General features: G+C 40.8%; 1 protein-coding gene across 1 annotated transcript in view, besides 1 other annotated feature; it reads left to right on the top strand.

The window, feature by feature from the left end:
• The window catches only part of ASXL2 (ASXL transcriptional regulator 2), a 144,735-nt gene that overhangs the window by 2,523 nt on the left and 126,558 nt on the right, over positions 1-15,654 (top strand). The gene's annotated exons all lie outside the window — the stretch shown is intronic.
• Positions 14,729-15,229: an enhancer, noted in NCBI's record as "H3K27ac hESC enhancer chr2:26083605-26084105 (GRCh37/hg19 assembly coordinates)". NCBI's record gives its function as "activates a minimal SCP1, AML or CMV promoter by ChIP-STARR-seq in naive H9 embryonic stem cells {active_cell/tissue: H9 hESC(naive)}" and the evidence as "EXISTENCE:reporter gene assay evidence [ECO:0000049][PMID:30033119]".

The raw sequence follows: 15,654 nt of genomic DNA, 5'->3' as shown, positions 1-15,654 counted from the left end.
AAATAAAAGAAGGACCGGGCAAAGGTACATTTGTAATATTTCAGACTGTAGAATAATGAAATCAGAAAATTAGTGAGTTGACAAATGAAAGTAACTTTGACCTAAATAAGAATGTTAGTATTTAGATCCAGAGGAATAGGAAAAGAAGTTTTAAGGCTTAAACTTATTTCTTAGGCATTAGGATGTCAAGTGTTCGAGGAACAGTTTCATCAAGGAAGCAGGTGTCTGTTTCTTATTTCATGTGTTTTTGATACCTCCATTGTAGAGCTATCATGTTTTAGAGAGTACTATTAAAATAAGGTTGTTTTCCTGACCAATAATATACCAATAGATATATTCAACACATTAAATGTAGATATGTGATACTGGGATGATACGGGGTGTGTGTGTTTATGTGGGAGAGCTACATGGTTTGATGTAAGGTTATTATAAGCAAAATAATAAGATTCATAATTATTATCATTATTATTATAATTGTATTTATTTATTTAGAATCGTTTTGCTATGCTCTCCAGGCTGGAGTGCAGTGGCTTCACAGGTATGATCGTGGTGCACTAAAGCCTTGAACTTCTGGTCTCAAGTGATCATCCTGTCCTAGCTTCCCAAGTAGCTGGGACTATAGGCATGTGCCACTGTGCTTGGCTTCATAATTATTATATAATAGTAGATTATGCCAAAAGGCTGATAAAATGAACTTAAATATATACACTGGCTCCAGTAACTAAGGACACCAGAGAAAGGTGATGGAGCTGCGATTCACCTGATCTTGAATGTGCATTCACTACACTGGACTGCCTCCCTGTTGATCTTATTTAAATATGCTAGTTATAAAAAGCATTCTAGTATTTAGTTAACAGTTTCACATGTTTTACTTTTTCTTTTTTTGAGACAGGATCTTGCTCTGTCGCCCAAGCTGGAGTGCACTGCCACGATGGCGGCTCATGGCAACTCAGCCAACCCCTCAAGTGATCCTCCTGCCTCAGCCTCCTGAGTAGCTGGGAGTGCAGGTGTGCGCCACCATTCCCAGCTAATTAAAAAATTTTTTTTTGTAGAGAGAGGGTCTCCCTATGTTGCTCAGGCTGGTCTCAAACTCCTGGGCTCAAGTGATCCTCCTGCCTCAGCCTGCCAAAGTGCTGATATTATAGGCGTGGTCCACTATACTCAGCTGCATGTTTTAAATTTTAAGGGCAGTAGTGATGGTGGTAATGAATGATTTGAGCGAGAGACAAATAGTGTAGTGTTTAGTACAATTTAAATTTGAAAACTTGTAGCTAACCGGGGATATTGAGAGCCATTACATTGACTTTATTTTTTGAACCAGGGTCTCACTTTGTCACCAAGGCTAAAGTGCAGTCTTGTGATCGTGGCTCACTGCAACTTCCATCTCCTGGGCTCAAGGGCTCCTCCCTCCTTAGCCTGTGGAGTAGCTAGTACCACACACATGTGCCACCATGCCCAGCTAATTTTTTTGTGTGTGAGACGGGGTCTCACTTGGTTGCCCAGGCTGGAATGCAGTGGCGTGATCTTGGCTCACTGCAACTTCTGCCTGCCAGGCTCAAGCAATCCTCCCAGCTCAGCTTCCCAAGTAGCTGGGACTACAGGCATGCGCTGCCATACCTGGCTGATTTTTTAATTTTTTGTAGAGATGGGGTTTCGCCATGTTGCCCAGGCTGGTCTGAAACACCTGGACTCAAGCGATCTGCCCACCTCTGCCTCCCAGTGTGATGGGATTACAGGCATGAGCCACTGTGCGGGGCCCACAGCTAATCTTTAAACTTTTTTTTATAGAGACGGGGTCTCGCCAAGTTTCCCAGGCTGGTCTTGAACTCCTGGACTCAAGTGATCTGCCTGCCTCAGCCTCTCAAAGTGTTAGGATTACGGATGTGGGCCACTGCACCCTGCCTGCATTGACTTTAGAACTATGTTCAAAATTAGGCTCATTAAAAAGATGAATCATCTAAATATTTGATGACATCCTGAGGATTTTAGCAGTTTTTGCAAAGCAGAACTTTGAAAATAGCAGTCTTATTGATCTTGTTTGCCTTTTGACTTTTCTTTCCTTACCCATGGCTAGAAAAGCATTAAAAGGTGAAAGAGTCCCAAAAGGACAAGTGTGTGTGATTGTAGGTGGAAGGGATAGAGAGGCAGACTTTAGAGATTATACACTTAAGGGACATTGGGTGTTTTTTTGGGAGGAAAATGGTAAAAAAAAAAATATGAGAAACAAGGTGTGGGTGTTAGAGATGAGGAACATAACCTGTAGTGTAGATCTTTGGAATATAATTTGTAGACTGAAGAAGTAGTTTTTTTGTTTTTTTTTTTAATATATAGACTTTATTCATTGGTTAATTATTTTGAATGTACACAAGATTTTAGTTTTTGTCACTTAAAACTTTTGTCACTTTTGTCACTGCTAAAATCCTCAGGATGTCATCACATATTAATCATCTTTATTTAACTTTAGAAAATAAGGTGGAAGATAGAAAATTTCTATTAAAGATAGGCTAATTACTTTGATATAGGAAGTGTAGAAAATGGAAATATTATTATTTTTTGAGACAGAGTCTCACTCTGTCGTCAGTCTGGAGAGCAGTGGTGCAATCTCGGCTCACTGCAACCTCTGCCTCCTGGGTTCAAGTGATTCTTCCGCCTCAGCCTTCATAGTAGTTGAGATTACTGCACCTGGCCAATTTTTATAATACAAATTATAGAAAGTAAAACGGTAGATTTTTGGCTCATGGATTACATAAAAATTAGTGAGAAAGCATTGGCATGGGCTAAAACTTGAGAAACACTGACAGCTAAGCTATGAGGATGCAAAGGAATAAGAACAATGGAATGGACTTTGGGGACTCTGGGTGGGGAAAGGGTGGGAGGGTGATGAGAGATAAAAGACTACACATTGGGTACAGTGTACACCGCTCGGGTGATGGGTGCACCAAAATCTCAGAAATCACCACTAAAGAACTTATCCATGTAACCAAACACCACCTTTTCCCCAAAAACTATTGGGGAAAAAAACAAAAAAAGAACTTACAACCTCCCAAGAGCCAATAAATAGAGACTTCTGGGAAAAAAAAAATTCTCCTGAGAAACCGTCTGGGCTAAGTGCTTTTTGGTGAGCTAATTCCTTGATAGTTTTGTCTATTTATTCTGTGGAACTTAGTTTGCTTAAGCGTCCTCTCTCTACTAGGGTCAATTTTAGTAAACTGTTTTCATTAACAGTTATCCATATAATAGAGATTCTCAAATTTATTTGCCTAAAGCTATGGAAAATAATCTCATAGAATTTAAAATTTTTCCTCTCTATAGTTATTTCTCCCTTATCAATGCTTACTTTGTATATTTGTATTACTATCTTCTTTATTAATTTTGCTAGTGATTTATCTGTTTTGTTGGGTGCTTTTGTTTTCCCCTAAGTAAACAGATTTTGTTTATGAATTGTTTTTCTGTTCTCTGACCTTATTAGTTTTCACTTATACCTTTACAATTTTACTCTTAGACTTTGTTTTGGTTTCTTTTGTTATCTTTCTAGCTATTTGAGTTGGGAATTTATTTAAGTTTTAATTTTTTTTTTCTCCTTGAGACAGGGTCTTGCTGTGTTGCCCAGACTGGAGTGCGGTGGTGCGATCTTAGCTCACTGCAGCTTCTGCCTCCCAGGCTCAAGGGATCCTCTTGCCTCAGCCTCCCAAGTAGCTGGGACCACAAGCACGCACTACCACGCCTGGCTAATTTTTGTATTTTTTGTAGAGATGGGGTTTTGCCATGCTGCCCAGCCTGGTCTCAAATTCTTGGGCTCTCGCAATGGACCCAAAGTGTTGGGATTACAGGCGTGAGCCACTGTGCCCTGCTAATTTTTAATTTATGTAGCTCTTTGGGCTTGTGAATTTTCCTCTGATCTCTGCTTTACATTTATCCCATAGATCTGTTATGCAAAATTTTCACTCATTGTTTTTCTGAAATTCTATAATTTATTTCTCCTTTTCACCCAAGAGTTTAATAAAAAGTTCTTTAATTTTTAAAAAAATTGAGGAACTGCTCTGATGCATAATTTTCAAAACAACTGTGTATTTACATTCGTCAAATTACTTTCTGCAAGTCTGTTAGTACAAGGTGACTTGATGTAACACTTTTTGCTTGACTGATCTTTCCTTCTTGCCATATTATTTAAAGTTCTCCTGCATAAATTTTGTGTTAATTTCAAATTAGCCAGGTGTGGGTGGCGCATGCCTGTAATCTCAGCTACTCAGGAGGCTGAGGCAGGAGAATCACTTGAACCCGGGAGGCGGAGGTTGCGGTGAGCCGAGATCGTGCCATTGCACTCCAGCCTGGGCAACAAGAGTGAAACTCTGTCTCAAAAACCAAAATAAATAAAATTTTGTGTTAATTTCATAATTTTTTCTGACCTGTTTTTATTCCTCTATCCTGAAAGCCCACAAGCCTCCTAGTTTGTTGAAGGAGGGGAAAAAAGCAGATTTTTTTTTGAACACTTAAATTAAAAATTTCTATGAAAGGTGCTGCTGCTGCTGCTACTCCTGCATCTCTTGTAGAATTCTGAAAGGCGTTGAGAAAATAACCTCAGGTTTGCAAAAGTCCTTTCTGCTTCCCCATCCACAGATTCTATCTACTCTTGAGAGGCTGGACAATTTTGCTGTGGGACATTTTTCCCCCCCTCTACGAAAGCTGTCTGGAAGGAGGCCAGTGTGGAAGATATAACTAAACTTGCTATCTTTGTCCTGTTTACAAAAGAACTCTGAATACCCCTCTATTTCTGTATTCTTTCTTTTTACATCTCATAGAGGCCATCCTCATAGTTGATATTTTTAAATTTAGTATTTTTAGTACAGTGTGATTTGTTATGTTTTTACTATTGTTAAAAGGTTATTGAATGAGCTAAATTTTAGAACTCTAAATATGATTTAAAAACTGTTACTTGCTTTAAATTTATTTCCTATTCAAGTTATATAGGCTCATTATGTTTTAAAAAAACAAGAAACAAGTAGAAGTATGTAAAGAGTTAATCCTAGATGAGTCAGTATACTGAAAACAGGAATTAAGTGAAAGTCTGCATACTGAAATATTGAAAATATTTACTTACCATACCGAAATTAACTCTGGTTGATAGTTAAATATGGCTTTCTGGATTTTTTTTTACCTCGTATATACAAACAGGTATACCTTTATTTTACATGAAATTCTATAACTTTATTTTATGAATATCATGGATAGCTTGTCGTGTCATTACTTGTGTATTTAATATCTGCCTTATTCTTTTCTTCTTTTTCTTTTTTGAGGTGGGGTCTTGCTCTGTCACTCAGGCTGGAGTGCAGTGGCATTCAATCACGGCTTACTGAAGCCTTGACCTCCTGGGCTCAAACAATCCTCCTGCCTCAGCTTCCTGAGTAGCCAGGACAACAGGGATGTGCCACCAGGCCAGGTTAATTTTTTGTTTTTAAACGGAGCCTGGCGACAGACTGCAGTGGCGCAATCTTGGCTCACTGCAACCTCCGCCTCCTGGGTTCAAGTGATTCTCCTGCCTCAGTCCTCCCGAGTAGCTGGGACTACAGGCACGCACCACCATGCCCAGCTAATTTTTGTATTTTTAGTAGAGATGGGGTTTCACCATGTTGGCCAGGATGGTCTCAATCTCTTGACCTCTTGATCCATCCACCTTGGCCTCCCAAAGTGCTGGGATTACAGGTGTGAGCCACTGCGCCGGCCACCAGGTTATTAATAAAAATTTTTATTTTTTGTACAGATGGGGGCTGACTATGTTCCCCACCCAGGCTGTATTACATCTTCTGAAGATGCATCTGAGTTGTTAGCTTCCATGGTGAACTGTGGCTTGAGTGGAGATTCTGTAATAAAGACCTTCTATAAGTTAACGAATGCTTCTTTCATCATAAAGACTATGTAGTGCACTACAGCATCAAACTCCTGGGCTTAAGCTATCGTCCACCTCAGCCTCCCAAGTGGCTGGGACCACAGACATGCATCACCACGCCAGGCTAATGCCTTATTCTTTTCAATGTTTCTTTCTTTTTTTTTTTTTAGTATTTCATTGTTACTGGATATACCATCATTAAAAAAAATCGGTCCCTGATTATTTAACATACAGGTAATTTATAATTTTTTTCACTTTTTTTTTTGAAACAGGGTCTTGCTCTGTCGCCCAGGCTGGAGTGCAGTGGCGTAATCTTGGCTCACTGCAGCCTCCAGCTCCCAGGTTCAAGCGATTCTCCTGCCTCAGCCTCCCGAGTAGCTGCACTACAGGCGCACGCCACCATGCCTTGCTAATTTTTGTAATTTTAGTAGAGATGGGTGAATATTGGTCAGGCTGGTCTCGAACTCCTGACCTAAGGTGATCCAACCACCTCGACCTCCCAAAGTTCTGGGATTACAGGCATGAGCCACTGCACCCGGCTGTGAAATACTTTTTTTATTGTGGACAAGAAGAAGGAAATTCTGTCTATGCCAGTAAGACTTTGTGCTCCTTTAAGACAGACTTTCTTTTAAAGTGTTTTTACTTGCAGACCTTAACTGAGTTTCTTACATAGGAATGCTAAATCTTTTTTTTTTTGTACCTTTTTAAAATTGGAGATTAAAGAGAACATTCTTTTTCTTTTCTTTTTTTGGAGACAACGTTTTACTCTGTTGCCCAGGCTGGAGTACAGTGGTGGATCTCAGCTGACTGCAGCCTTGACCTCCCAGGCTCAGGTGATCCTCCCACCCCAGCCTCTGGAGAAGCTTGGGACTACAGGCACATGCCACCATGCCTGGCTAATTTTTTTTTTTTTTTGAGATGAGGTCTCGTTCTTGTCCCCCAGGCTGGAGTGCAATGGCGTGATCTCGGCTTACTGCAACCTCCACCTCCAAGGTTCAAGCGATTCTCCTGCCTCAGCCTCCCGAGTAGCTGGGATTACAGGCGTCTGCCACCATGCCTGGCTAATTTTTGTATTTTTAGTAGAGGTGGGGTTTCACCATGTTGGCCAGGCTGGTCTTGAACTCCTGACCTGAGGTGATCCACCCACCTCAGCTTCCCAAGGTGCTGGGATTACAGACGTGAGCCACTGCACCTGGCCAATGTTTTGTATTTTTTATAGAGATGCGGTTTCAGCATGTTGCTCATGCTGGTCTTGAATTCCTGGGCTCAAGCAGTCCTCTCCTATTGGCCTCCTAAAATGCCGGGATTACAGGTGTGAGCCATTGCTGCCAGCCTGTTCTTACTTTTAAGAGAGGATGATTTGCATAAAGCTAGTCAAATATATTAAGTATTGTTTGCCATGAAAACTGGTTGAGTATCTCTTTCTTTGTGAAAGAAAATTATGCTAAGACACACCAAGATATTTGCCTCCAAAGATTCTTTTGAGTTACATTTGGACCTTGGGAAATATCTGTGATAATTCTTAAGTCTGACCTTGCTTGACAGAACTAAAATTGGTTAACGGTAAATGCGAATGTAGTTAGTTCATCTTGGGCATCAGAGAGCATTGTAAAACTTGCTAATTATAGTATCCTCTGAGTAAGCTGATCCATCTTTTGGCAAAAATTATGTTGTGAGAGACTTTTCATTTGAAAATTTCTTGGCTACTGACTTTAATTAGCAGTTGATACTAGAATGGACTTTCATGGCGTTCACAGCCTGGGATGGCCCACGTCATCTTTAACCTTGAACTCACTGATGTTTGAATTATTCAGTAGCTGGCTTAGCCATATTGAATTTCAAATAAGTGTTCAATGGTGTTAGTTACTTATTTCTAAATGGTACACAACATTTTAAATGTTTTGCTATTGATTTATAGTGACTAGTTTCCTGTCTGATTTGAGAGGTTCTGACAAATTTTTTAAGAAATGGATGTAACCATGAAATCCTAAGTAGAGGACCCAGCTAACCTGTACCCACAATCCTGATACACTTGAGACTGTGAGATAAATTTGTGTTGTTTTATTCTGTATGATAATAAAACTTACAAATAAAATGAATCTGTGTTGTTGAAGCTGCATAATAGCAATCTAATAGTAATACTAAAATTTGGGAGTATGATAGAGCAGGGTTGTCTTAAAGAAGGTTTGACTTGGGTATTCTAGGACGATGGATAAAGTATTTACAAGTGAATGATCGGCAAGGGCATTCCAGGCAGAGGGAAGAGCTGAAAAGAGGAAAGACTGAAAAATGCAGCGTATGTTTGATGCATGGCTAATTAACCTGTGAGTGTTGTGTAGCATAATGGAAGACAAAACCAGAAAAGGTCGGTTGGGCCAAAATGTGGAGGGTTATAGAAGCTGGGCTGACAAGTATTTTCTGGGAGTAATAGAGAATTTTTAGGCAGGAGATAATAATGTATCTGTTTTAAGCAGATTGGGGCATTTGTGGGATTTATTATAGAGGGCAGGAAAGACTGGTGGGAGGAGATAAAACTTTCTTTTGTCGTCTTTCACATTTTTCTCATTGCATACCTTTTTTTACCTATACTTATCCCACTTGCAGCTTTTCAACACCTTTACTTAAGATTTTTTTGTTTTGTTTTTTGTAGAGCCTGTGTTGCCCAGGCTGGTCTCAAACTCCAGGCCTCAATCTATCCTTATTCCTTGGCCTCCCAAAACACTGGGATTACAAGTGTGAGCCTCTGCACCTGGCCTTCTACTTTTCTGCGAGCCTCCTGAAGTTTCCACACATAAAAGAGGTCTTGGAATACTCTGTAGCACAATACAATTCTCATTTTTTTTTAGATAGAACCTGTCTCTACTAAAAATACAAAAATTAGTGCCAGGCGCGGTGGCTCACGCCTGTAATCCCAGCTCTTTGGGAGGCCAAGGCGGGCGGATCACCTGAGGTTGGGAGTTCGAGACCAGCCTGACCAGCATGGAGAAACCCCGTCTCTACTAAAAATACAAAATTAGCCAGGCATGGTGGCACATGCCTGTAATCCCAGCTACTTGGGAGGCTGAGGCAGGAGAATCGCTTGAACCTGGGAGGCGGAGGTTGTGGTGAGCTGAGATTGCACCATTGCACTCCAGCCTGGGCAACAAGAGCAAAACACTGTCTCAAAAAAATAAAAAAAAAATTAGCTGGACGTGGTGGCGCGTGCCTGTAATCCCAGCTACTCAGGACGCTGAGGCAGGAGAATCACTTGAACCTGGGAGGTGGAGGTTGCAATGAGCCGAGATCATACCTGTGCACTCCAGCCTGGGCAACAGAGCAAGACTCTATCTCAGATTCTTTTAAAAAAGTAAATATTGATATATTTATTTCTGACAAAAAATTAAGGATACTTTTGCCAGGTGAAAAGCTGTCTTGTTATTGGTTTGGAATATAAAAGTCATACCTTGAGAACAGATGTGGGGGACAAGAGGGGCAACCATTTCCCAGTCTTAGTATTGGATTGCTTCATATGTATTTCTCAGCTCTGTTTTCTAGCAGATAAAAGGTAGTAAATGACAAAGTTTTAATGAAAATGATTTTTCAAACTAGATTTCTTATAGACCTCCCATAGGGAATTTGCTGATTCTGAAAGTTGTCTATGAAAATTGAAGTTTTGTCAGGCGCAGTGGCTCATGCCTGTAATCCCAGCACTTTGGAGGCCAAGGCGGGCGACTCACGAGGTCAAGAGATGGAGACCATCCTGGCCAACATGGTGAAACCTTGTCTCTACTAAAAATACAAAACTTAGCTGGGCGTGGTGGCATGCACCCGTAGTCCCAGCTACTTGGGAGGCTGAGGCAGGAGAATCGCTTGAACCCAGGAGGCAGAGGTTGCAGTGAGCCAAGATGGCGCCACTGCACTCCAGCCTTGCGACAGAGCGAGACTCCACCTCAAAAAAAAAAAAAAAGAAAAAAGAAAATTGAAGTCTTAAGCTTTAATGACAATCTTAAAAATTGTATATTTTTAACTTCCTGTGTGATTTTGGTATCCATATTTAATGGAGTAGGCAGACAATAGGGAAATGATGCGTTTGTACCAAGTAAAGGTCACAGCTGTCATCATGGTGCATTAATGGAATGAAGGTTTCACCATAGTTTGAATAAGAAAATGTGGTTACACGTGTCCACAGAGCACATCTCAGGTCTCATGCAGTTGGAGTTAAGACCATTGTGATGTAGTTAACAGTCCAGCGTTAGTTTAATTTTTACTTAAAATGGAAGCTCATTGTTTTATATTGGATTTTTTTTTTTTTTTTTTTTTTTTTTTTGAGACGGAGTCTTGCTCTGTCACCCAGGCTGGAGTCCAGTGGCGCGATCTCGGCTCACTGCAAGCTCTGCATCCTGGGTTCACGCCATTCTCCTGCCTCAGCCTCCTAAGTAGCTGGGACTACAGGCGCCCGCCACCATGCCTGGCTAATTTTTTTTTTTTTTGTATTTTTAGTAGAGACAGGGTCTCACCGTGTTAGCCAGGATGGTCTCGATCTCCTGACCTCGTTATCCGCCTACCTTGGCCTCCCAAAGTGCTGGGATTACAGGCGTGAGCCACCACGCCCAGCCTATATTTGGATTTAAAAAAAATTTTTATAACATTTTTATTTTTATTTTGTTTCTGAGACAGAGTCTCGCTCTGTCATCCAGGCTGGAGTGCAGTGGCATGATCTCAGCTCACTGCAATCTCTGCCTCCTGGGTTCAAGCAATTTTTGTGCTTCCACCTCCCAAGTAGCTGGGACTTAAAGGTGCGCGCCACCACACCAGGACAATTTTTTGTATTTTAGTGGAGATGGGGTTTTGCCATGTTGGCCAGGCTGGTCTCAAACTCCTGGCCTCAAGTGAGCCACCCACTTCAGCCTCCCAAAGTGCTGACATTACAAGCGTGAGCCACCATGCCTGGCCTAAATTGGATTTAAATTGTAAATTTTAGCCTGGTGCGGTGGCTCACACCTGTAATCTCAGCACTTTTGTAGGCTGAGGTGGGTGGATCACCTGAGGTCAGGAGTTCGAGACCAAGCTGGCCAACATGGCAAAACCCCTTTTCTAATCAAAATACAAAAAATTAGCTAGGTGCGGTGGCAGGCGCCTGTATTCGGGAGGCTGAGGCAGAAGAATCGCTCGAATCCAGGAGGTGGAGATTGCAGTGAGCTGAGATCGCGCTATTGTACTGCAGCCTGGGCAACGAGAGCGAAACTCCGTCTCAAAAAAAAAAAAAAATTGTAAATTGTAAATATGTTTTATTTTTGTAATTGTGTAAGAGCAATAAGCCTAAGAGATTTATACCTAGTATAATTTAGTATCATTTGTGTGTATGTTCATATAAAATGTAAAATGTTGTAACTTAACCTGGTACAGTGTGACCCCTGAGAATTTTTTTTTTTAAATAGTACTAAAGTTTGAGATATACTACTTTGACTTGATGTTTTCTGTGATTAAGTAAAAGATTACCCTGTGCCCAAAACTAAATATAACTTTTCAAAACATGTTCTTCCTTTTATAGTTCATTTTCCTTTCTTTTATCACAATTTAAAAAGCTAGAGTCATCATCTGTGTTTTTAAGGTCACCTGCCACTAAAAGTCTTAATGGATTTTTGAAATCTCTTTTCTCATTTCCATTTCCAATTCCTGTGCCTTAGTTGCTGTAGTTTGCGAAACTGGATTTCATTACCTGTCTATTAAAGCTCTCTCCAATCCATCTGACCACCCTGTTTTTGTTAGAATAATCTTAAAATGTGAGTCTCGTTGTAATGTTTCTTTCTTAGTTTTTTGCTAACTCCTCACCTGCCAGTAAGGTAAATTGAAGGCGTATCGCCTGGCATTAAGAGTGTTTTCTTATGATCTTGCCCTTGCCTCTGTTCAGTTCTCTTTTACTGTTGCTGCTTTTGTGCCCAGTGCTCCACCGTTAACGAGTGGTTCATGAAACATGCCATTTCTTCTGGACATACCTGTTTTGTTGCTTACTTTTTCTGAAATTCCCACACCTTTCTTCACTTAATTGAGTTCACTTCTATTTTTATTTTATTTTATTGTATTTTTTTTTTTTTTGAGATGGAGTCTCGCTCTGTTACCCAGGCTGGCGTGCAGTGGCGTGATCTCAGCTTACTGCAGCCCCCACCTCCCGGGTTCAAGCAGTTGTCCTGCCTCAGCCTTCCGAGTAGCTGGGATTACAGTCACCTGCCACCATACCCAGCTAATTTTTGTACTTTTAGTAGAGATGGAGTTTCACCATGTTGGCCAGGCTGGTCTCGAACTCCCGACCTCAAGTGATCTGCTTGCTTTGGCCTCCCAAAGTGTTGAGATTACAGGTGTGAGCCACGGCACCCGACCTGTTTTTTTGTTTTGTTTTGTTTTTGTTTTTGAGACAGAGTCTTACTCTGTTCCCGAGGCTGGAGTGCAGTGGCGCGATCTCGGCTCTTTGCAAGCTCCGCCTTCTGGATTCAGGCCATTCTCCTGCCTTAGCCTCCCGAGTAGCTGGGACTACAGGTGCCTGCCACCACGCCTGGCTAATTTTTTGTATATTTTAGTAGAGACAGGGTTTCGCCGTGTTAGCCAGGATGGTCTTGATCTGCTGACCTCATGATCTACCCGCCTCGGCCTCCCAAAGTGCTGGGATTACAGGTGTGAGCCACTGTGCCTGGCCCCTGTTTTTATTTTAAGTTCCAGAGAACTCATGTCCGGATAAGTTAATTACTTCCTGCTGTGAGAATTTTTTTTTTTTTTTGGAGATGGAGTCTCGCTCTGTTGCCAGGCTGGAGTGCAGTGGCGCGATCTTGGCTCACTACAACCTCTGCCTCCTGGGTTCAAGCGATTCTCCTGCCTTAGCCTTCTGAGTAGATGGGACTACAGGGGCGTACCACCACGCCCGGCTAATTTTTTGTATTTTTTAGTAGAGATGGGGTTTTACCGTGTTAGCTAGGATGGTCTCGATCTCCTGACCTTGTGATCCACGTGCTTCGGCCTTCCAGAGTGCTGGGATTAAAGGCGTGAGCCACTGTGCCCGGCTGTGAGCTGCTTTAGTTTGCATTTTAAAATTTGGTTGTATTTAAAAATATTGTATTGTAATGAATTTGTCCATCTGTCTTTCCTACCAAAATAAGAGCTTTTTTGAGGGCAAGAATTAATGTCTTCTAAAAATCTTACGTTTTGGCTGGGCGTGATGGCTCACACCTGTAATCCCAGCACTTTGGGAGGCCGAGGCAGGTGGATCACCTGAGGTCAGGAGTTCAAGACCAGCCTAGCCAACATGGTGAAACCCTATGTCTACTGAAAGTAAAAAAAAAAAAATTAGCAGGGCATGGTGGTTTGTACCTGTAATCCCAGCTACTTGGGAGGCTGAGGCAGGAGAATCACTTGAACCTGAGAGGCAGAGGTTGCAGTGAGCTGAGATCATGCCACTGCACTCCAGCCTGGCCGACAGAGCGGGATTCTGTCTCAAAAAACAAACAAACAAACAAAACCACAAATTATTCTTTATCCTTAACACCTGTTGTGTAGTATGCACACAATAGGCATTTAATAAATACTTGTCAAATTAATTTGAAATGTATTTTTTGACTAATTTTTCCCCTTCTTGTGGAACTGGATATTTAGATCTTGGCCGTCTAATGTATTAAAGATGGATTAAGTGGTTGGAGAATGGAATCAGGAATCATATGTACCATCATACTTTTGTAATTGTTTATATCCTGATACATGCCATTGTAATATAAGTGAAGCTCCTTAGTTTTTCGGTGCCTTAAAACACTGTAATTTCTAAATTTCTTTGTTTGGCTTTGTATCAGTTTTAGGTATTTTCTTAATTATATCCAATCAAACATTTTGTTAGCCCTCCTTATTGATGTCCTAGACATACATAGATTTACTTCACTTTAGTGTTTGTGAAACTTGGTTCTAAGTTAGGATTAATGCATTATTTTTTCACTCTATTAATACTGATATTTAAAATTTAGTTAGGAGAATGTGTAACATAAGTTTCCTCCGTTTCACAAAAGTTAAATGAATTTTTTAAATATAGGAATAATATGACATTAAATTAGCTGGAAAATAGAGGAAAATAATCCCTCATCATTCTACCATCTGATACAGTACAGTACTTTGGAATCTGATCTTCCCCAGTCTGCCTGCTATCATTTACTTTGTTAAGTTTGATTTGTTGGGTTTTGTTGAGGATTTTTGCATCTATGTTCATGAGAGATATGGGTCTGTAGTTTGATTTCTTCTAAAACTGGCCTGATAGAATGAGTTAGTAAGTACAGATGCTTCTTGATTTACATAGGGTTATGTCCCAAGAGGCTTATTGTAAATTGAAGATATCCTAAGTTGAAAATACGTGGCTGACTAGGAGCTTGGTTTTGCTGTTGCTGCCCAGCATCACAAGTATGGTTTCTACTGAATGTGTATGGCTTTTGCAGCAACATAAACTTGAAAAATCAAATCACTGTAATTGGGGACATTTTGTATTCCTTCTGTTTCTGTTTTCTGGAAGATATTGTAGAGAATTGATATAGTTCTTTAAGTATTTTGTGGAGTTCACTAGTAAACCCATCTGGGCCTGAGGCTTTCTGTTTTGAAAGGTTATTAATGATTAATTCAGTTTCTTTGATAGATGATAGGCCTATTCAGATTATCTGTTTTTTCTTGTGTGAGTTTTGTCAGATTGTGTCTTTCAAGGAATTGGCCTTTTCTTCTGTGTTATTAAGTATGTGGGCATAGAATTGTTCAAGATTTCTTTATTTTTTCAATGTTCATGGGAACTGTAGTGATATTTCTTCTTTCATTTGTGGTACTACTAATTTGTTTGTGTCTTCTCTCTTTTTTACTTAGCCTGGCTAGAGGCTTATTGATTTTATTGGTCTTTCCAGGAAGCAGCATTTGGTTTTGTTAGTTTTTTCGTATTGATTTCTTGTTTTCAATTTCATTGTTTTCTGTTATAATTTTTGTTTTCTTATTTGTTACTTTGGATTTAATTTGCTTTTCTAGTTTTTAAAAATGGAAGCTTAAGTTTTGATTTTAGTTCTTTTTGTGTTTTGTTTTTTTGGAGGCAGGGTCTAGCTCTCTGTCGCCCAGGCTGGAGTGCAGTGGTGTGATCTCAGCTCACTGCAACCTCTGCCTCCTGGGCTCAAGCAATCCTCCCACCTCAGCCTCCCAAGTAGCTGGGACTACAAGCATGCACCACCATGCCCAATTAATTTTTGTATTTTTTGTAGGGATGGGATTTCGCCATGTTGCCCAGGCTGGTCTTGAACTCCTGAGCTCAAGTGATCACCAGCCTCGGCCTCCGAAAGTGCTGGGATTACAGGCATGAGCACCACACCCAGCATAGATCTTTTTTTTTTCCTCTGAGATGGAGTCTCTCTCTGTCGCCCAGGCTGGAGTGCAGTGGCATGATCTCGGATCACTGCAACCTCTGCCATCCGGGTTCAAGCAATTCTCTTGCCTCAGCCTCCTGAGTAGCTACCATTACAGGCATGTGCCACCACGCCCGGCATTTTTGTATTTTTAGTAGGTACGGGGTTTCACCATGTTGGCCAGGCTGGTCCGGAACTCCTGACCTCATATCCACCTGCCTTGGCTTCCCAAAGTGCTGGGATTACAGGCGTGAGCCACCGCACCCAGCCAGATCTCTTTTTCTAATACATGCATTCAGTCTTTAAATTTCCCTCTAAGCACTGCTTTTGCTATATCCCACAAGCTTTGATGTTATATATATATTTTTTTGTTTCCATTTTTTTTTATTTTTG

This window comes from Homo sapiens, chromosome 2 (assembly GCF_000001405.40).
Source record: "Homo sapiens chromosome 2, GRCh38.p14 Primary Assembly".
In the NCBI taxonomy this organism is placed as follows: domain Eukaryota; kingdom Metazoa; phylum Chordata; class Mammalia; order Primates; family Hominidae; genus Homo; species Homo sapiens.
The sequence above is the reverse complement of the archived record's forward strand: the minus strand, read 5'-3'. Positions and strand labels throughout refer to the sequence as shown.